Source organism: Homo sapiens, chromosome 6 (genome assembly GCF_000001405.40).
Source record: "Homo sapiens chromosome 6, GRCh38.p14 Primary Assembly".
Lineage (NCBI taxonomy): Eukaryota > Metazoa > Chordata > Mammalia > Primates > Hominidae > Homo > Homo sapiens.
In genome coordinates this window covers 145383088-145406341 of record NC_000006.12, presented here as the reverse complement: position 1 = coordinate 145406341, position 23254 = coordinate 145383088, and the positions used below count along the sequence as shown (strand labels likewise).

General features: G+C 38.4%; 1 protein-coding gene across 1 annotated transcript in view; it reads left to right on the top strand.

Annotated features, from left to right (window-relative positions):
- Positions 1-22989, top strand: part of EPM2A (EPM2A glucan phosphatase, laforin) — a 352671-nt gene extending 329682 nt beyond the window's left edge. Inside the window, exon 5 of the mRNA XM_024446550.2 lies at positions 22245-22989. Within this exon, the coding sequence (XP_024302318.1) occupies positions 22245-22318 (74 nt within the window). The 3' untranslated portion in view covers positions 22319-22989. The remainder of the gene's footprint in view (positions 1-22244) is intronic.

The following is a 23254-nucleotide window of genomic DNA, read 5'->3' as shown; positions in this document are numbered from 1 at the left end:
AAAAAGAAAAATGTTATTTGAAGCTTCTTGTATATTGTTAGATACTTTAGGAACTTACATGATCACTTTGCCATGGCCACCTTCCTGTTGTGGAAGATGAAAATGAGTGATTTTAGTTCATTTCAAAACTAATCAGATTAAAAAGAAATACTTTGGTTATACAAAAAGCAGCAGACTTTGGTGGCAGCAGCCTTTAACTATTGAGTATTGAATATTATTTCAGAGCCTGCGGTAATAACCTAAACAAATTATTTGTATATTTGCATGGTGTAAAAAAGATAAAGACAGAGTTTAAATAATATACTGTGTGTGTGTGTGTCTGTCTGTTGTGTGTGTGTGTGTGTGTGTGTGTGTGTGTGTAGGTATCTCCATGATTAAATAGTTCTTCTAAGAGATTTTCATAAGCAATTAATGTTCAGGAATGGTCAAGTTCAAACAATTTTGATGGAATAATAAGATTGAGAGAAAGTTGTAAAGTGGGTATAAACACTTGCACAGCTTATAATAAAATAAGATATTTACCAACAATGGTGATGTCCTGGAAAACAGCTATTCAACAGTTTCCAGAATGACTATTTCTTACCTGAAGTTTCTTTACTCTAGTTGTTCTCCAATGTGGTTATAGCCCAAGTTTATAAGTTGACATCAAATTCAACAACTTATTTCAGAGGCAACCTAAATAAAGTAATAATCCTGATTCTTGCTTTTTGGAATTAAAAAATGATTTTGCATATTTCTGCTGCTTTATTTTTTAAAATTTAGAAAAGGAGAGTTTAAAACTTATTTAGAAAGAACAGTCTACATGGTACAGTGCTTTATCAGGGAACATTACCTCTGCCATTTCTGCTTCTGGCATGAATTTCATCCTTTTTAAATTTTATATTTAACTCTAGGGTGTCATTCATGTACTTATAGTCCCCAAGAGAAAGTCTTGCCTTAGGATGAAAGGACTGTCTGGTAATTATATGACGTAACCGGCAGCCACAGCAGACACGCAGACATTCAGTTCAGGAAGAAGACTAGTTGTCATCAGAACATAGGCCGTAGAATTCACAATGAGCCACTGTGTGTTTGTCTAACAACTTGTATATAAAAATTGCATTTCTGGAAGAGGTATAAGATGAGCTAACTTGATTGATTAAACGTGCAAATTCAAGTCCAACATCTTCTTAGGTGGTACTTTTGTGTAAGCTTAGTTTTTCTAACATTGTCAGCAACTTTTCTATTCACAACAGCAGCAATCCAATTAAAATGGCCATCAGTGCAGAGCTGAGCTGCATTAAATGGTGCCCATTAATGTCATATTTAATTTGGAAGTACAGTGTTCAAGATGTTCATTACTTTCCTGTGAAAATCATCATGCAGTTTGTGGACACAAAGTTTTATAAATTGTATTTACATCTTTTAGGAAAGAAAAAGATCAATTTGCTTATATTTCAAAATCACACTTCCAGGTTATTTATATTCCTTTAAATCTGCAATATTCAAGCCACTATATTTAAACCAGCTTCCTGCAGCAATCTTTCAAGAAGGTGTGAGGAGAAAGGACCTATACTTTAAAACAAAATCCCAAAGCAAATTGTGACTGCATGTCTTCCAGAAGGCAAAGGATATAATTAGACTTCAATTACTCTTTTGGATTTTCAGGATTGACAATGTTGTTGAGCCTATTTTACCATATAATGAAGAATCAGAAAATAGGAAGCTTTGGTGTTAATTTAAAAGAAATTTACTGAAGAGGGCTACCATTGAAACGAAGTGCAAAGTAATCAGGACAATACTTCAGGATTCCTGCAAGCATCAGTTCAGCACATGATTGAATGAAGGGCGAGCTTCAATTTGAATTTTTCAGGGTATATGCCCTTATTCTGACCCTCAAAAGGTAAAAAAAGCTTTAGACAAACGCATATACACATTTAAAAAAACAATTTACATACAAAATAAATACGAGTATATAAAGACCTGTATATCAATAAGAAAAATATAAAAATAAAAACATTTAAAATGGACAAAGGGTATGAACAGACAATCCATGGGATAAAAAACTTGGGTGTTTAAAAACATATGAAAATATGTTCAAATGTAAAAGTCATCAGAGAAGTGTAAATGAAAATAACAAAGAGACAATCCACAGAATGGGAGAAAATATTTGCAAACTACCCATCTGACAAGGGATTCATAACCAGGATATATAAGGAGCTCAAGCAGTTCTATAGGAAAAGGTTTAATAATCTGATAAAAAAAATGGGCAAAAGATTTGAATAGGCACTTCTCACAAGAAGACATACAAATGGCAAACAGGCATATGAAAAGGTGCTCAGCATCACTGGTCATCAGAGAAATGCAAATCAAAACTAGAATGCACTATCGTCTCACCCCAGTTAAGATGTTTTATATCCAAAAGACAGGCAATAATGAATGCTGACAAGGATGTGGAGAAAAGGGAACCCTCGTACACTGTTGGTGAGAATGTAAATTAGTACAACCACTAGGGAATATAGTTTGGAGGTTCCTCAAAAAACTAAAAATTGAGCTACCACATGATCCAGCAATCCCACTGCTGGGTATATATACAAAAGAAAGGAAATCATTATATTAAAGAGCTAGCTGCACTCCTGTTTGTTGCAACACTGTTTATAATAGCTAAGATTTGGAAGCACACTAAATGCCCATCAACAGATGAACAGATAAAGAAAATGTGGTACTCATACACAGTGAAGTACCATTCAGTCATAAAAAGAATGAGATCTAATCATTTACAACAACATGGACGGAACTAAAGATCATTATGTTAAGTGAAATAAGCCAGGACAGAAAGACATCACATGATTCATTTATTTGTGGGATCTAAAAATCAAAACAATTGAACTCATGGACATAGAGAGTAAGAGGGTGGTTACCAGAGGCTTGGAAGGGTAGTGTAGAGCAGGGGCATCAGGGGGTGGTGGTTGGGGGGAGGGGGTGTGGGAGGATGGATAGTGGGTACAAAAAATAGTTAGAAAGAATGAATAAGACCTACTATTTGATAGCACAATAGGTTGACTATAGTCAATACTAAGTTAATTGTACATTTAAAAATAACTTAAAGAGTAATTGGATTGTTTGTAACTCAAAGGATAAATGTTTGAGGTGATGGATACCCCATTCTCCATGATGTGATTATTTGATCATTTCACATTACACGTCTATATCAAAACATCTCCTGTACCCCGTGAATATATATACCTACTATGTACCCACAAAGTTTTAAAATATTTTAAAAATAACAAAATACAATTTCTTAATTACCAGGGTGGCAAACATTGAAGTGTAATAGTATCAGGTTTGAGGAAAGTTACAGAAGTTTGAGAATTCTCTACACTACTGGAAATGTAACTTGAAGTGACAGCTCAAGAGAGTAATTTAGCATTAAAATTGCAAATGCACATATCCTTAGAATAGACGTCTCACTTCTAGGCTATTACATAGAAAGTAACTCAGACATATGTAGAGATATAAAGTAGATTTAACTCTTTAAGAAATGTAACTTTTTCATTTCATTTTAATATTTTGACCTAAGTTCAAACTTACAGAGGAGTTTCAAGAATAATACAAAGAATTCACCCAGGTAGACCAAATGTTAATCCGTTTGCCTGTGCTCTTTTGCTCTTTCTCTGTCTACACCAAATTATTTTTCTGAACCAATTAAAAATAAACTGAAAACATGATTTTCCTTCACCCTTTAGATACATTAGGGAGTTTCCTAAAAACAAGAATATCTTCTCACTTAATCAGACTATAATTACCAAAATCAGGAAATTAATATTGGTACTACATCACTATCTAAGCTACTAACCTATGCAAATTTTGTCAATTGTCCAATCTTAATCTGTGTAGTATAAGTAGGTGCCATCTCAGACACTGCACAGTAATGTCATGCGTCTTTATCTCCTTTAATCTGGAAGATTTCTCTCTTTTTCAGGACATTTCACACCTTTGAAGGGTACTAGTCAGTTATTTTGTGGAAATTCCCTTCATTTGAGTTCTGCTGAAGTGTCTTCATAATTAGATTCAACTTACATGTTTCTGGCAGAAATTCCACAGAAGTCATGCTATGTCCTCAGCTCATCTATCAGGCATATGATGTCCATTTGTCTCACTAGAGCATCATTCACTTTGATGACTTGGATAAGATTATGTTGGCCAGCTTTCTTCCATTTACAAGTTACTACCTAGCTCTTTGCAATTAAGAAGTATTTTGGGAGAGGTAATTTCAGATTTTGCAAATATGCCGTTATTCCCCACACTCACCCACTAGTTTTAATATCTATTTAATAATTCTTTCTTAAACCCATTATTTTTCTGATGATTGTCAAATCATGCTTTTCTAATTATGTACGAGATGGCTTTCTAATCTAGGAAGAGTGTTTCCTTCTCTCTCTTTTATTATTCATTTATTTATATTAGCATTGACTCACTAATTATTATTTTACTCAATGGCTTATTATTTAATTTGGAGCTCAAAATATCCCAGATTTAGCCACTTGAGGCGGCTCCCATATCCTTTTGACTTGCCATGATCATTCTTTAAGCCCTGCCTTACCTTCTGTCACAAAAAGATGTTCAGATGTAAATTGATAGCCCTTAGGCATGATAAAGCAATGTCCATTAATGAAATACTTGGGATGCAATCAAGTCTAATGATGGAGATTCAGCCCATGAAATCCAGAGGTTTGGGGTTAATTTTACCTCATTCCTCACTGTGTAATGTCAGTCCCATCTTAAATTTCATTAAGCCTCATATTAGTTCACAGTTTTGGGGGACTTTGGGGTAGAATGCAATAGGATCATGCTTAATTAACATTGTGTCTGACACATGGTTGAACCAAAATTCAAATACATTCTGAGCATCAACAAGAAGAGTAATTGGAAATAAAATAAGAATTACTATCCATCCTTAATGTACATTCATACTCAAGGAACACTCTTTGCCATTCTAGGCACCAGACCTTAACAGAGAGATCACAGATCTTGCTAAGGTGAAAATAGAGTACTTGTGTATATGATATATAAAAAGATGGGTACAAATATGCATATGACAAATGCTGCATAAATGACAAATATTTTTATTTTCTCCTTAATTGATTACATTAATTTTTTTTGTCATATTGGGCTTTAGGTGTTTTTTTCCCCCTACCCGTTTTCATAGGCTTGATTGTAGTGAAAAAGACAAATAAAACATAATGATAATGGAAATATATTTGTTCTATTAATTTGCTGATGTATTATTACAATATTGTATTAAGAACTTTATTCAATTATTAAACCCTTTAGTAAAGTCAAAGGTACTTTATTAAACATTTCTTAATCTAATATTTTTTTCATTCTGCAGGAACATTGTTTTATGGATAAGCTTGTCAACCAAAAAGTCACAAAATCTGTAAGTTTAGAAAGGAGGGCTTTCTTTCTAAAGATGGGGGTGTAACAACCTGTAGGCGGGAAGCAGAGCCCCGGATGAAACCAAAAATTAAGCGCTTTGAAGGAGGGAAAGAAGAGACAAGAATTTATGGTGAACAGTTTGGCTAAGTACATATATTTAACAGGTTATAGGAGGAGCTATGAATATTTACATAGAAAGTCATGTACATGCATAGTAAGCAAAAATGGATGTTGCCTATGTTCCATGTTCACTTTGGGGTGGAGACTTAACATTGAAATTAATACAGTTAGTCCCTATATGTCAAAGGTTGAAGCAGAGGACACAAAGGCACTCAGTAAGCAACCTCTGTTAACTGATCAGAACCACTCCATAGTCAGTGGTCTCTTATCAAGAAGGAAGGCCAGCTGTTGTGCCGAAACCACAAAAAAGGGCGGGGGTCAATATTAGGCAATTGATGGAAATCATCAGTAGAACAAATCTTTTGAATGGGCTGGTTTCTGTTTAACTCTTAAGAAAGAGGTAATGGGCTTTAGTGAGGGAGGGAGTATAATGAGACGTGACTTTCTGTCTGACCTTCTGTGTCATCAGTTTTTAAGGTTTATCTAAGTTCCCCTTGGACAAGAGGGGATTAATTCAGTTGGTTGGGTGTCTTAGGATTGTGTTTTTATTTCTCATTTATGCCTTTGGCCAAGATTTCTCAGTCAGCATCAATGCCCAAACTTTCATTTCATCTCATATCATTGTCTGGGTGATCTGGCTACTTTCCCTGGGATTACCCAATCCATCTGTGGGACCCCTGTGGCCAAGGGACTTAGAGCCAAAAGAATTACAACCAATTAAATGTTTTAGGCCAGATGGGAATGGGAGTGGGCAGGCACTCATCAACCCTTAAAACCTTTTAAGCAGCATAAAAATCAAAACCACAAAAATCTTGGTTTCAGTTACAAATTTGTAATAGTTATACAGAACATAAACATTTTGATTATCAGAAAAAAAGGAACAAAATAGCAAGGATAATAATAGCAGGATTTGTAAAATGGATTGAAGCCAGATTCCTAATCTAGTCAGGAGATAGCCAAAAAGATTATTGAGGGCGTCTGTAGTTCGTAATTTTTGTAACCATTTGGTTTATTTGGAAATATTTTCTATATGAGTTTCTACCTCACCTGAAGGGTTGACATAAATACAAAGGGAGGTATGAGCCATTGTACAGAATCCTTCTTGTTTGGCTAAGAGAAAATCTAATGTAGCCCAATTGTCTAAAACCACTTGGGCCAGAAGAAGTCTCTAAATTGTCAAATAATTTAGAGACTTTTGTTATTCCACAATACTTTTTGCACTCTTTTCAGCAATTTGACCTGAAGTGGCTGATAGATTTTTTTTCTGTTCGCATAAATCCCATAACCAGGAACTACTACACACAGAGTTTCTGCCACTAAGTCTCTTGAGAAACTCCCAGTAATTCTCTTTTTAGTCTGTTGAAAGCAGGAAAACTTTTATAGTTGGAGATGATGGAAAAATAAACTTTCTTTATTTGATTACAACATGTCCCATCAAACAAGAATCTTCTTGTGTAGGCTGTTGAGGCAGTGGTGTGCCCACCCCAGTATGAGTGGATCAGCTCTTATGTCACATATAAACACATAACCTAGGGGAGAGCAAGTGATAGTCCCAAAGTTATGTTTATTGATGAACTAAATAATGGGAAGTGCCAATGAGACTAAATTAAACCATGAGTCACCTCTCTCGCAAACTTTTTAAAATCCATTTACATGACATTGTAAACGTAAGTATTGTTGGCATAATAGGGACAAATTTTAAATTTTCTTTATTTGATCTAGAATGTGTTATCTGTCTACCCAGTAGTTCATTGATCAAGGAAGTCTTGTGGTATACAGTGATTTTCTAACATTAATAACATGGGATAGATTAAAAAGGGGGTGGTAATATTTGGGTGTGCAAGCAATTGGACTCAGAAAGTTGACAAGAAAAGAAATTAGTCCAGATAAGTGGTGATGTCAGGAACATTGGAGAAAGTCTCTGATGGTTTTTTTTTTTTTTTTGAGACAGAGTCTCACTCTGTCACCCAGGCTGGAATGCAGTGGCACAATCTCAGCTCACTGCAACCTCTCCCTTCTGGGTTAAAGTGATTCTCCCGCCTCAGCCTCCCAAGTAGCTGGGACTACAAGCACATACCACCTCAGCCAGCTAATGTTTGTGTTTTTGGTAGAGATGGGGTTTCGCCATGTTGGTGAGGCGGGTCTTGAACTCCTGACTTCAAGTGATCTGCCCGCCTCAGTGGCTCACGCCTGTAGTCCCAGCACTTTGGGAGATGACAGGTATTATTAATGGCAAATGTTTATTGTTAATGGATTTAGGAAGCTCTTGACAAATCTAATAATTTGTTAAATTGTCTCCAGCGGCAACACTTTGAGACAATTTAACTAAATAATTATCATGTCATTTTATACCTTGACATAAAGGGACAATTACAAAGAGATGAGAAAAGGCTGTTAAGTCCATAAAAGAAAAAAAAAGAGACAAACATTCTATTTAAAAATTCAAACCAAAGAAGAAATCACAAGTTTCATACAAACTCTGGAGAGCTATCAGGCAAGCTTTTGGGATTGTCTTTGAGATAACAGAGCACCTTACTAATAAAGAAAACAAATAACCATGCCCTTAAAAGAAAGTCCATAAATCCTGTCAGATTCTGACTGTTGCAGAAGAGGGAGCTCATAAGTATTTTAATTATCTATAGGTGTCTAGTTGTTGGCATGCACAGGCCTATCTCAACATGGTGCAAAATGTCTAAAATACATAAAATTTCTACAGATATAACAATTAAAACAATTAGAAAATAGATGTGCATTTAGCAAGGTGGGGGTGGGTATCTCAATACTTTATGTAAGAAAATGATAACTGTGAAAATTCCTAAAACACTAAATGTGATAACCAATACAAGGAGAGTATAAAAATTCATCTCAGTACAGGCCTGGTTCAGAGTGTTATGAAGTTCACTGTGGTTGTCTTTCCTTGGGCCTAAGTACTAGGGTTTGATCAACTTGGGTTTGGTGTCAGATACAGACATTAATGTCCATGACTCAGCAGTGATTGCTGCCTTTTTCAGATGAGATATGTGTACCTAATAGTAAATTCTTTGTAACTTAACAGCACACAGGTTGGTCAATAATACTTGATAAGAGCCTTTTCAATGGGGCTAAATGGAGTCTTTTAACTGATGTATTTTCCAGTATATGTAACCACCAGGTTGGAGTTGGTGAGACTGGAGATTATGGCCTCACTGGAAGCTGTAAAAAGATTTTCCCACCTTGTGGTGGTTGATGCCTACAGCTTTGAAGAGCTTCTGGCAATAAGCTGGGAGTTCCCCCTGTAATTGGGTAGGAGATAACATTTCTTGTTCTAAAGGCGTAGACCAACCAATAACAATTTCCTTTCTTTTCTGTTGCCCCTTTTTTATTTTTTAAGGCTCTTGCTCTGTTGCCCAAGCTGGAGTGCAATGGCGTCATCATACCTCACTGCAGCCTCAAACTCCTGGGCTCAAGCAGTTCTCCTGCCTCTACCTCCCAAGTAACCGAGACTACAGGCATGTGCCACCATGCCTGGCTAACTTTTTAAATTTTTTTCACTTTTAGTAGAGACGTGTTCTCGCTATTTATCCCAGGCTGGTAGTGAACGCCTATCCTCAAGCTATCCTCCTGTCTTGACCTCCCAAAGTGCTGAGATTACAGGCCTGAGCTACCAAACCGAGCCAGTAACAATTTCAAAAGGAGAAAGTCAATGTTTTCTCACGGGAGTGAACTGCAAAATCAGTAATACCAGCAGAAGAGCTTTAGGCAGGACACATGAAATGTTTTTGTGATTTTTGCCAGATGGTTTTTAATGATTTCATCAGTCTGCTCAACTAGCCCAGAGGACTGGAATGATAGGCACAGTGAAAGTGCTGTGGGATTGGCCAGGTTTTAAACACCTGTTTCAGTACTTGACTGGTAAAATGAGCTCCCCTATCTGTGATGTTCAAAGGGAATCCCAGGTAGAAATGGTTTTCTCAAGTAGTATTTGGCCACCACCATAGCTGTGACTTGTTTGTAAAGGAAAGCCTCAACTCAATGAGAATAAACGTCACCACTACAAGAACATATTTACATCCATGGGGTGGCAATAACAGAATGAAATCAACTTGCCATTACAGTGAAGGGAAGTGAAAGTTAACTTGGAGGAGAGTTTAGGGGTTTACTGAGGGCAGACATTGCAAAGTTTATGGACCTGAGAAGCACTCCAGGTATCTGAGGGCAGACATTGCAAAGTTTATGTACCTGAAGGCAGACATTGCAAAGTTTATGTACCTGAGAAAGTCTCCAACAGTATTGTCTGCTCCATTGAATCATTTGTCTGGATTGCAATAGGTCAGATTCTGTATGAAGGTTAAAGTCGGTCTCTAAAGAGTGCTGGGTACAATTGGATGTCTACTTGGACTTTCCTATAATTTTGTCTGGGGGTTTAAAGAACAATTTTGTTTTATCTAATTCCTCCTTTCAGCCTCTGAAACTGTTTTTAGAAATAGTGAGAGTCTGGAGAAGAGATCTTCAGATGGGAAAGGGAATGAGGGAGAGGAAGGAGCCCGGGAAGAAGGAGGGGTAGTGGGTTGAGCAGCCATAACTGGGGAAGGAGTCACCCTGCAGGAGCTGGAGCTGCCACACTTCTTAGGTAATTGTCTTTGCTGTCCTATGTCTTGTCAGAGAAATGTCTCTGGACTTTGATAATGACTATTGCTTGAGGAGCCTGAATGGTATCCAAGAGGACCAGAACAAAGTCTTCGTTCTTAACAGGCTCTTCAGAAAAGGTGTGAAATCCTTTTTGGCTCTAGATCTTGCTGAAATCACAGGCAACTCTGAAGGCATGTCTGCTGTGTGTATAAATATTACCCCCTTTATATGTGGCTAGTGGACAGGCTTGAGTGAGGGCATGCAGTTCTACCTGTTGGGCAGATTAGGCACCTGGCCGAGGGCTTGATTTAATGGTTTGTATCAGAGAAACCACCATGTAGCCTGCCCAGTAGGACACAGCAGAATCTCTGATAAAAGACTCATCAGCGTACCAGATAAAATTCAGATTGAGTAAGGGAGTTTCCTTTAGTCTGTGTGTGGTGAGAGAAGGATGTCTATAAAAGCAGTATAGTCATGGAGGATACCTCTTCTGGTAAAGGAAAGAAGGTGCCGGGGTTAAGGAGGTTACAGTGAGCTATGGCTAGGTTAGGAGAGGAGGAGAAAAGTGTCTTATAGCAGGTCAGTGGACTAGTTGAAAGATGCTGAGTGTGGTGCAGGGTGAGAAGGGCCTCAACTGAATAAGGAACATGTATAGTGAGAGGGGCTCTCGTTGTTTTTTCAGTAGATTTAAAGCTTTAATGAGGGTGAAAATGGCCATGACTGTCCTAAGATAGGGTAGAGCTACAGAATTGAATTGTTGACTCTAATCTTAATGGGCTGATTGTTACCCCCATAGGGCTGAATTAGGATTCCCAAGGCATTTTCTTCTTGTTTTGGGACAAAAAGGGAAAAGGGGAGATCATAATTTGGGTGTCCCAGAGTAGGGGGTGAGGCCAACTGACCTTTTAGGTCCTTGAAACCTCTCTACCTTGTGAGGTTCAAATAGGGGGTCAGAGGAGAAAACTTTAAGTAAAGCATATAGAGGTTGTGCCATTAAAGACAGGTTGGAAACGCAAGCTCTGTAGTAAGTCCCAGAAGCCCTCCAAGCTGCTGCTTGATAGTGGAGAGAGGGGAGGAAAAAATGCCTTAAAGGTGAGAAGGGTTGTTGTTTAGCCCTGAAGGGGTTAATAGATGTCTGTGAAACTTAATAGAATTCTGACAAAACTGTAGCTTGTCTTTAGAGACCTTGTGTCCCTCAAGGGCCAGCTGGTGGAGCAAGTGAAGAGTGTCAGTAAGTCAAGCATCTTGTGAGGGAGAGCATAAATGTATTATAATAGGGTAGGATTGTTGGGGAAGCTTATATCCTATAAGTCGACTCATAAGATTTGAGAAAAGTAAGTGGAGTTTTCTGTATATTCCCAGAGAATGACTATATTAGTGAACGATTGGCCCTTTCACATGAAGGCAAAGAAAAATTGACTTTCTGGATTGACAGGGTGCTGAAAAAGGCACGACAGAGACCCATAGCTGAGAGACACTGAGTGTTAGAAGGTATGCCAGACAGTCATGTGTGTGGGTCTGGCACAACAGGGTGTCAAGGCATAACAATATTAGTAATATCTTTAAAGTCCTGAACAAACTTCCATCACTTTCAGTTTGGTTTCCAGACAGGTAATACGGGTGTGTTACAAGGGATAATGCAGGGGATTATGAGGCCCTTGGAGAGGAAATCATTAAGGTTGGACTCTATTCTGGCCAAAGCTTCAGGATTGAGGGGATATTGTCTTATATTGGGTAGAGGTTTGTTGGGCTCTATCTGTATGGTAATTGGCAGTGCTGAGTGAATCAGACAGATATCAGTGTTAGATTGGCCCAGAGTGTATCAGGCAGTTTTTTAAAAGCCTGGTGCTCAGTGGCAACTGAGAAGCTAATGACTGACATGGGAAAGACATGAGTAAGGTCAGTGGTCAAGATGTCCAAAGGATAGACCTCTGGAATGGTCCCTCCCTCATGAGAAAAAGAAATATGAACTTGATGCCTTTCAAGGAACTCTCTCTCTCCATCATACGGAGAGGAGCAGAGGAAACAAGAATGAGGATGCCCTGGCTTTGCCTTAAAAATAGTCATAAGTTGGGCCGGGCATGATGGCTCATGCCTGTAATCCCAGCACTTTGGGAGGGTGAGGCAGGCAGTTCACAAGGTCAGGAGATCGAGAGCATCCTGGCTAACAGGATGAAACCCTGACTCTACTAAAGATACAAAAAATTAGCCAGGTATGGTGGCACACACCTGTAGTCCCAGCTGCTTGGGAGGCTGAGGCAGGAGAATCACTTGAACTGGGGAGGCAGAGGTTGCAGTGAGCCAAGACCACGCCACTGCACTCCAGCCTGGACAACAGAATGAGACTCTGTCTCAAAAAAAAAAAAGAAAAAAAAATAGTCATAGGTTGATTAGTGACCCTGACCATTTTTATGGTTTGGTTACAACCGTAGCATAAAATGCTCTTATGGGGAACCTAGATTCTAAGGAACAGTCACTGGTCAGCCCCCACCAAAAACCCTGGCAGCTTTGGGGTGGTGGACATATAAAGAGTTGGGGTTAAGCACTAAGAGAGTGGCCCCAGTATCTATTTGAGTTCAGACCGTTTGATTATTAATTTGAAGATCAAATTCTCGCAGCTGAATTTACCACAAGGAAAAGAAAAATTCTCTTCCCTTCGTCGTAGTACCCCTATTCTTATAATGGGGAAAAAAACTGTTCTGGCGTCAGTCTACTTTGGGAAAAGAATTAGTTTTCTTTATGATGATCAGGATTTTTTTTTTTGAGCCACATTTTCTATTTCTCACAATTCTGTTTAAAGTGACAGACTTCCCTGTAAAAATAACAATCTGTGATTTTTTTATGTCAGGCTCTGCTGTGTCTTTTGCTCCTTAGATGGGGCTTGTTGTTTAGTGGAAAGCCCCTGATTCTGCTTAATGTGTAGGGCCATGAGTTTTGCAGTTTATTCCTGGTAATGAGTGTCTTAGCTACTCGAGTATCTTTCCTTTTCTGTTGTTTTTGAGAGGTAGTTGAACACGAAAGCCAATTCATGAGGCCTTTTAGAGTCCAGCCAGAATCATGGCTTAACGGGAGTACTGGTTAATCTGCTTGACCAGAGTACTAAAGGTCTCATTGAGACCTGAAAGAAAAAATGAGTTGGAAAGCTTGGCATTATCATCATTTAAATCTTTGATGCCTGAATTCTGTCTGAAAGTTTTTTTAATTGATTGAAAAAAAATCAAAGACTGGCTCATCCCTTTTTTGGATATATCATTGAATAGCCTTCCAATCTATTTGACATGGAAAAATTACTAGGATGGCCTTAATTAATTCTGTGATTACCTCCTGAGCCCTCCTAAAGGCTGCTTCCCACATAAGTACAAGATCAGTTTTAGGATGTGCCAAACCCTCATGGTTGATCTATTCCCTGGCTAAAATAGTCCCGCTAACATCTGGAGCAATTGACAACCACTGAGAAGGCCTGGTTGATATATATTTATAATGAAGCCAAAATGGTGTTCAAATTCAACTGAGTCTGTTTTAGGGTTAGGGAAGTCCTTGATAATAGTCACAAGATCAGTTTTAGACCAGAGGGAGGAGAATGACTCTACTGCCTGGTGGCCCCCTGTAATTTGAGCAACTTGTAAGGGGGCAAGGAGAAGGGTTGGAGGGGTGTGGAAAGGAGGGGTTGACTCTAGGGAAGAAGGGGAAGGGAAGAAAGGAAGCTCAGAAAGGGTGAAAGATGGCAGAGAAGGATACACTGTTGCTGGCATTAAAGGAGCAGTAGAAGGAGAATGGGGAGACACAGCATCTTCCTCTGTCTCAAGGTTGGAATCTAACTCAAGGTAGCTCTCAAGTTTTTAAATATACTGGTCAAGTTTCAAATTAGACTCCTTCAGCCTTGAATTTGTCTCCTTTGAGGAGGCCATCGGAGACTCCAGAACATGTTTAGAGTTCTCATAATACCAATTAATTACAAAAGGTCTCACACTGCTATTGAGAGGTCCAAACCCTCTCCGTTCTAATTGTGCCAATAAACAAACTAATTTAAGCATGTCAAAAGTTCCCCCATTGTGACCAACAAAGCTTTAAATCCTCCTGGTTAGCTTTAGTCAGGATCTCAAATATTCAAAAGAATGTTTCCCTGGTTCTTAAACATGTAAGCCACCAGGGTTTCTGATGGTGGCTGACCAGAGGCTATTCCCTTAGAACCCAGGTTCCCCATAACAGCATTTACCAAAGGTGTCCCTTTGAGGACCCCACTGAGTTAAGCTGAAATGCCCCCCACCACCTGCCCCCCACCTAAGACCCAGGGCCAAGAGAAATATCTCTTCCAAGGTCCAGATGGAAGGGAGAGGTAGGAAGAAATAAAGTCTCCAAGATCTTCAGCCTAAAAGTGGGAGATCTTGGGACTTACTCTTCCCCAGTGCAGCTGGCAAGACAACTGAGCTGTCAATGGGCTCATGCATGCATTATCTTCAATCACGGGGAATCTAGGGATCTGTCACAAAATCTGTAAATTTGGAAAGGAGAACTTTATTTCTCAAGCGGGGGTATGGGAACTTCCAGCTGACACTGAAAAGCAGGCACTTCGAGGGAGGAAAAGATGAGACAATAATTTATGCTGAATGGGTTGGCTGAGTACCCATATTTAACAGATTACAGGAGGAGCATGAATATTTATTTACAAAGGGGGGGCAGGCACATGTGTCTAAGCTAGCATGTACATTACATGTCTCATGTTCACTTTGGGGTGAAGATTTAACATTGAAGTGTATTGCAATTAGGCCCTATACATTAAAAGGTGAAGTAGAGGACACAAAGGCACTCAGTGCACAGCCTCTGTAAACTGGCACCAATTATTCCATGGTCGGTGGTCTCTTATCAGGAAGGAATGTCTGTCAGCTGCTGTATTGAAACTGCAAAAAGGGAGGGGCAGTGTCAGGCTGATGGTTGAAATCAGCAATGGAACATGTCTTTCAAAAAAAGCTAATTTCTGTTTAACCCTTAGGAAAGAAAGCTTAATGGTGGTTAGCAAGAAAGTGGTATAACAGGTATGTCCAACTTCCTGTGTCATCGTGGCTGGGCACTCAGTTTTTAAGGTTTCTCTGGGGTCCCCTTTGCTGAAAGAGGATCTGTTCAGTCCACTGGGGGACTTAGGATTTTACTTTGATTTCTCAAACTGCCTCATTTCCATCTCAGGCTGTTTCCAAACCCCCAACCAGCAAGTATAAGCCACACATCACCAACTCCTCTGGGCAAAGACAAACAATTTGACCAAGTTCAATTGGGCAACTTGACCAGGTTGAACGAATCTCTTTCCTAGGAATTGCATATTGAGATGGAAAGAAGGTGAAAAGTTTGCTGCAGGTGTTGGACTAGTGAGAACATTTAAGTTTGAGGCTGGTCAGTCATAATAAACCTTGTATATTGACAAGCAAGCAGAGAAACTGGCCTCAGGGAGAAAAAATATGATGTAAAAATGCATATGTACATCTTTTACATCAACTATGATGTAAAAATATGAGCAAAGCCAAGAGAGCAATAGAGTAAAAGCCAGAGAATAAGAGAGCAAAACACAAATAGAGAATGAGTCTGTGCAGAAGTATGAGCGGGAGCGAGAGAAAGAAAGAGAGAGAGAGAGAGAGAGAGAATGTGCATGCACAACATGGATAAATAATGATGGGAAGAGAATGAACCTTTTGTTTACCCAAGAAAAGAAATTTTCCTGCAGAACTATCACCAGACAAGTTTGGCAGAAAATAAACAGCCTAGGAATTGGAAAGTTTATGCCATGAAGGGTACCTTACATCACTTGGCTGGGCCAGGTGCCCAGATACTTGTTCGAACATTATTCCGGATGTTTCTGTGAAGGTGTTTTTTTTTTTTAATTTAAATTTAAGATGAGATTAAAATTTAAATTGGTGAATTTTGAGTAAAGCAGATTAGTCTCCATTGTGTGGCTGGGCCTCATCCAGTCAGTTGAAGGTCTTAATAGAACAAAGACTGCCCTCCCCAAAGAAAGAAGGAATTCAGCCAGCGAACTGCAACTGCAGTTCTTCCTTAGGTGTCCAATCAGTTGTTCTGTCTACAGATTTTGCACTTACCAAGCTTCCACAATAGCGTGAGCCAGTTTCTTAAGATAAATCTATCTCTCCTTCTTGCTCTCTGTGTCTCTCTCTGTCTGTTTCTGTTTCACTCCTGTTGGTTCTGTCTATCAGGAAATCCCTGACTATACACAAAATAAGAAAACACAAGAATTAACCATTTTTAATTATATTTTGTTCCATCATGAGAATATTTGCATGTTTGATATTTTCTAATATTCCTACAAGTTCTTTCAGTGCCCAGTTGATAAAGAAAAATTGTAAATTGGCCGTCATCATTGACAATAATGGCTTCTTGGGGAGGAGGGTCCAGGTTGTGACTACACCTCAAGGATGGAGAAATTACTCTTCGTGTACTCTGAAAAATGGAGGTAGGAGACCTTCACTGCTTATCAAGCAAGGAAACTTCACAGAATAAGGTTGAGAAATAATTTGTTCCTTTATTCACCAAATATTTATGGAACACCAATTATGTGCTAGGCATTGTTTCTAGGCACTTGCAGTATGAAAATAAATAAAACATTTCTCCCAGACTGTCCCCTTGGAGCTTACATTCACGAGGCAAAAGAGAGTTAACATTAATATGGAAAGTGTTTGTATGTTAAAAGGTGATGAATGGGCCAGGCGAGGTGACTCACATTTGTAATTCCAGCACTTTGGGAGGCCAAAGCAGGCAGATCACCCGATGTCAGGAATTCAAGACCAGCCTGGCCAACATGGTGAAACCCCGTCTCTACTAAAAATATAAAAAAATTAGCCAAGCATGGTGGTGGGTGCCTGTAATCCCAACTACTTAGGTGGCTGAGGCAGGAGAATTGCTTGAACCCAGGAGACGGAGATTGCAGTGAGCCGATGTGCCACTGCACTCGTGACAGAGTAAGAATCCATCTTAAAAAAAAAAAAAGAAAAAAAGATGATGAATGCTTTGAAAAAAAGTCAAAGGGAGGAGAAGAGGGGGTTGCATTTTTAAATGTAGATGTGAAGGTAGGCCCAATTGAGAAACTAATATTTTGTAAGAAATTAGTGTGGCGATTCCTCAAGGATCTAGAACTAGAAATACCATTTGACCCAGCAATCTCATTACTGAGTATATAAAGGATTTTAAATCATTCTACTATAAAGACACATGCACACATATGTTTATTGCAGCACTGTTTACAATAGCAAAGACTTGGAACCAACCCAAAAGCCCATCAATGACAGACTGGATAAAGAAAATGTGGCACATCTACACCATGGAATACCATGCGACCATAAAAAAGGATGAATTCATGTCCTTTGCAGGGACATGGATGAAGCTGGAAACCATCATTCTCAGCAAACTAACGCAGGAACAGAAAACCAAACACTGCATGTTCTCACTCATAAGTGGGAGTTGAACAATGAGAACATATGGGCAGAGGGAGGGAACATCATACACTGGGGCCTGTCAGGGGCTGAGGGGCAAGGGGAGGGACAGCATTAGGAGAAATACCTAATGTAGATGATGGGTTGATGGGTGGAGCAAACCACCATGGCACATGTATACCTGTGTAACAAACATGCACGTTCTGCACATGTATCCCAGAACTTAAAGTATAATAATAATTTTTTAAAATGCATCAATCTCACAATAAAAAAAAAGAAATTGGTCTGGGTTTTATCTGGGGTTAGGGGGCAACATGGAGATAGAACAACCAATGCAAAGATGTAACTAGTGCACATGCCTGGTAACTTCAAGAAACAGCTAGCAGTGGCTGTAGTATATGGTTATAGTAGAGTGAAGAGGGCAGAGATTAATAAGGGATGAGGTCAAGAAAGATCACAGGAGAGGGCCGTTCTAAAAGAACTCTGTGGATCTTCACAGGTTGTTTTGAGAACTTAGCTTTTACTAGTAGTGAAGTGGAGAATCTTTGAAGGGTTTAGACAGAGAAGAGAAATAAAGAGAACAGTATATCAAATCTGTAAGCATTCACCACCAAGCTTCAATAACCATGAACCTCCTGCCATCTTTGTTTCAGGCTATTCCCCTCTATATTATTTACTTCATTTTTAAAAAATGTATGTTTAATTGTGAAATGCACAGATCTTATGATCACGGTTGGATAAGGTGGGACAAACATATATGCCTGTGTGGTTAACACCCAAATGAATACAAACAACATTTCTGTCACCCCTGATAGCTTCCCTTCTGTTTATTTCCAGTCCAACCTCTTCAACCTGACAGAAAACCACCCTTCCCGCATCTATCACAGTCTCCCCTGCTCCTCTGCCTGCTTGTACCATAACTTGGCACTTGGTTCCAGGAACACAACTTTTGTGACTCTTATCTCATCTACGGTGATTTCATCCTCCTCTGGAATTTATTTTCTTAAACTTATTTTGGGTCCATATTTTTTTCAAAGCTTAATAAAAATTGTAATTTTGATTTTTTCTTTTTTTCCCTGCTGTTACTATGAAAGCAAATGTCTTTCTTAGGTCTTCCTCTATTTGAACCAGGTGTGGTAATCCCTGGCTGGATGACAGCCCCCAGACAGTGGGAATAGATAGAAAGGAGACAAGGACAAAGAACCAAGACATCGGGTTCTCCCTCTGGTGCCTGACAAAACTAGAATAAACAGATCATGGGATTGTCAAGGAAGACAGACACACAGTGAGTGTCAGGAGACAAGAAGAGATGGCATCTGGAACTCCCCCTTGATCTATGTTGGTGGAGGCAGGACAGTCTGAAGAAAAGTGGCTTTAGGTCCCTATGTGTGGGCTGCCTCTTTAATCCCTGTTGAGGATGTCTGAAGAAGCTTGATGTGATTCCTAGCATGCAGAACCCTCATCATTAATGTTTGAGATGTAGAAGGTGTTGGAGGGAAGGTCTTTGTCTCAGTGTGTAGGCGTTTTCTTGAGAATATCATTTACTATATAATATAATCCTGCAAACAGAACAAAGCTATCTCTGTTGAAAAACTTTAGGGACAATTGTCTGTTTCTCATAGTTCCCAATCACAAATTTTCTACTTTATAAAAGGAAACAGTTACTTCATTGGAGATCTAGTTTAAGAAGAAATATTTCCCTTGGGTTTGGCCAAGAAATTTTGCCCCAAAACAAGTGGGTATCTGATGACTTTTCCATTGCCACTTCTAGTCCTCTGTGAGGCTCAAAGACATTATCTGCCCCTAGATCCCCTAAAGTATGTCAATACTCTGAAAAAGTCTTTTTAAACAAAACAGACTACTTTAAGTAGATTTCTGTTACTGGCACCCAAAAGAGTCTAAGAAAAGGAACGAAAAATCCCACTGATTATGAGAGATGACAAAATTTGGTTTAAGATTATCTGCACCATGTCTGGCTCATATCCCTGGTTTCTAATTTTCATTTTTTCATCTCTCTCTAAACCTACTTAAACTGCAACTACCTGCCTGAAAACTGATATCACACATCAGAATATGGCCTTTTATTTTCCTCCTTGTTCAGGACAAATATTTAGCACAAACAAGTGGCTGTGTTTAAGACTTATTTAGTGTTGTAAACACAGTTATTAAGTGTGAAGAACTTTAAAAAAAAGTTTTGAATTTTTCTTTTTATATAAAGATAGCTTTAACAGGTCAAACTCCCAATGGAATATCTAGTGACGGCTCTATTATATGATTGAAACTCTTAATTTCAAAGCTCTTGGAACTATTTAAAATGATTCCTAAGTTTCCTACATGTAGGAAAGCTTTGATAATTCACATGATTTCGATAACTCTCGGGTGATATACAAAAGCTTTTTTTCCCTCGTTTTAAATATAGTTTTTCTCACAAAATAGCACAGACTAAAAATCAATAGTGTCCATACGTAGTATAGCAGGCACCACTGTAATGAAGTGACTTATTTGTTTAACATATCTTTCCAGTGTCCAATCTGAGCAAAACGCTGAGCTAGGCACTATGCTTCTATTAAAATAATTACAACTACCTTGGATTTTATGCTAAGTAGTATCTGAATATAGTTTACTATTGATTACACCTTTCCCTAAAATCTTTTTTTTATTATTTTAAAGAATATTCTATTGAATTTAGTACTAAAGTACAGCTCTTTAGCAATTTTGTTCATTACTTCAGTACCTGGTAAGATAGTAGAAACTGGAATGCATTTGAGATCTGAATGAAATCTCCCTGGAGTATAGTTTTGTTTACATGAGTCTGAACTACACAAGGAATTTTAAATTCTTGATTTCAGGCTAAAAGGGGACTGGAAGGAGAATACAAAAAAGTACTGAATAAGAAAAATTGATAGATAACAAACATTGCATGACATGGAACAAAAAAAAAGTAGAAAAAAGAAGGAGACAGATTTATAGATAGAAAGCAATGGGTAATTAAATAAATGGTCATTTGTAAAGAGTGTGAAATGGGAAAATTCAAGCTACTCATTGTCTTAAATACGATGAAGGTTTTTTAAGACTGGAAAGTCTGTGTACAGAAACACCGTCACCTTGGTATTTTTAAATTATGTCCAATTTTTGCCTGGAAAAAAAGTTTAAAAATATAAAAATGCCCAGATAAATAAAAAGCATTCCTCTGTGACTTTGGCAGTATTTGCTATGTAACATAAAAACAAATCAATCACAACCAGATTTGGTAACTTTGTTTGAATCTATGAAACAAAAACTCAGTAAAAAACTGGGAGTTTAATTTATATCATCAGAATACTCTAAAGCTTTGGTCATTTACAAATGACCTTTTTTTATTTTTTATTTTTTTCAACAACCCAGCCATTGTTGAGATGAGCTTTATATTTAAGGAAGAACTAAATTACAAAATTCCAAACCAAATATGTGGCTTTAGTTTATTCAGTCAAAAAGCAGATCATCTTATTAGACAGAAAACTATTGAAGGCAAGGATCTCTTCATCCTTTGTAATTCCCTTAAAAAGGGCATTATTTGTTCTCAAAGATGTACACCAGCTCCCATAGGTCTCCACGTTATTTTTTAAATGGGTATAAGTGATTTTTAGTCCATTCTAAAGTTCTTTAAGAGAAAAATTCTTATCATTTTGTATAATTCTGAATGTACTTTTATTTATTCTAAACATCTGAAAAACCTTTATTCATGCGATGCTATTTACATTTCCTTGATATTTAGAAGATTATTGACAGTAGTTTAGTATTTTTTTCTTTGTATTCTCAATTTCTCCAGATAAGATTTATGTTCTTATGGAGACCTCATAGATGCCTAGTCGTTGTCTTATCTCTTCACTTATCTCTTAAACATTTTCCTCAAAAAGTTTACTCTAGACTTTCCAATATGATGCTCTTTCTTCTATGAAATACAGAGAAAGTGGTAAATAGAACTGCTTTTTTGACCTCTGTTAGTGATGATCTGTACTTGGATGCATATCCACATGCATATTCAGGATCCAGATGCATATTTCAGGATGCATGTTTCAGGACTGAAGGACTTACTCCCAGCTGCTGGGAGTGCCACTAGTGTCAGCTGGCAGCACTCCCCAGGAACTACTCTCCCCTAAAGAGAGTTGCTTTCCCCACCTGCCCTGAGGTAGCCTGCAGCCAATGCCAGATCAATGAGGGGTTATAAAGTCCAACCTCCTTGCCCCAACTGACCACAACTCTGCAGGCTGATCCAGTTTAGAGCCTACTGTGAAGTTAGCTTATGCCTTTATTGACACCGAATCTTAGACCACATTTTCCCTTTGCCAATCCTTCTTCCTTCCATGCCCCCACAGGTGTTGATCCCATGATTATCACTAAAAAATAACCCTGTGTCTCAGAGGCTGCTTTCCCAGAAATCCAACTTACAACAGCCATCTTGTTAAAGCAAAGTCAGTCCCTTTGTTGATATTGTTAATAGTCCCTTGTTGTTATCGTTTACGTTTTTGTAAGCTACGTTTAACTGAAAGAAGAAAAACTAGGGACTTGCAATTTTCCCTTATTAACTTGATAGCTAGGAGTCATTTTTGACTACTTACCTAAGATCTCATACAAATACAAAGTAAAATAATCTCAAGACTCTCCCCTCTCACTTTTTTTTTTCAGGCCAGATACTAAGAGGAGGAAGAAAATGGACAAAGACAAACATACAGAAAGGACCAATGCTATGGATATTATGAACAGCAACCTCAATTTCTGTCATGACTACAAGGAATGGACAGCATTAATAAAATGTAACCTTGTCATTATTTAATGACAACATTAAGAATCTATCAACATGATTTAACAGATCTATATGTTAAAGGAGAAAAAGATATGTGGATGCTATCAATAGTAGCTGAAAAGCATTTTCAGAAATCTGTAAGTAGAGGAAATGTATTCATATGTTTCTATGTTCTAGAATAGATATTTTGACTAGACAAAAGTTGAAATCTTGTGTCTTATGTTTTTATTTAAATGATAGACTCAATACGTAAGTAGTCACAAGACATATGATATTGTCTGGATCTGTGTCTCTGCTCAAATCTCATGTTGAATTGGAATCCCCAGCGTTGGAGGTAGGGCCTGCTGGGAAGTGATTGAATCATTGGGGTGGATCCTTCATAAATATTTTAGCACCATCCCTTTGGTGCTGTTCTCGTGATAGAGTTCTCACAAGATCTGGTTGTTTAAAAGTGTGTGGCACCTCCCCATCCTCTGTCTCTGGTCATGTAAGATGTATCTGCTTCCCCTTTGCTTCCACCATGATCAAAAGTTTCCTGAGGCCCCCCTGGAAGCTGAGTAGCTGCGGCCATGCTTCCTGTAGTCTGTGGAACTGTGAAACAATTAAAACTTTTTCCTTTATAAATTACCCAGTCTCAGATATTTCTTTATAGGGGGGCAAGAATGAACAAATACAACACATGAAAGAGAAGGGTGGAAATGCATGGAAGGATATATCCCAGGTGTATCAGACAATTTTGCTCCTCACCTAGATGCCCCGGATCCTTTGGTAGCTCTGTGCACCCATCCCAGCTCCAGCATGCTTTGTGCTGAGATCCACCTGTGACACTGGAAGATTACTTTGGATACTGGAGCTAACTCATTCTTAAGATAGTTGGAAATACCTGGGAGCT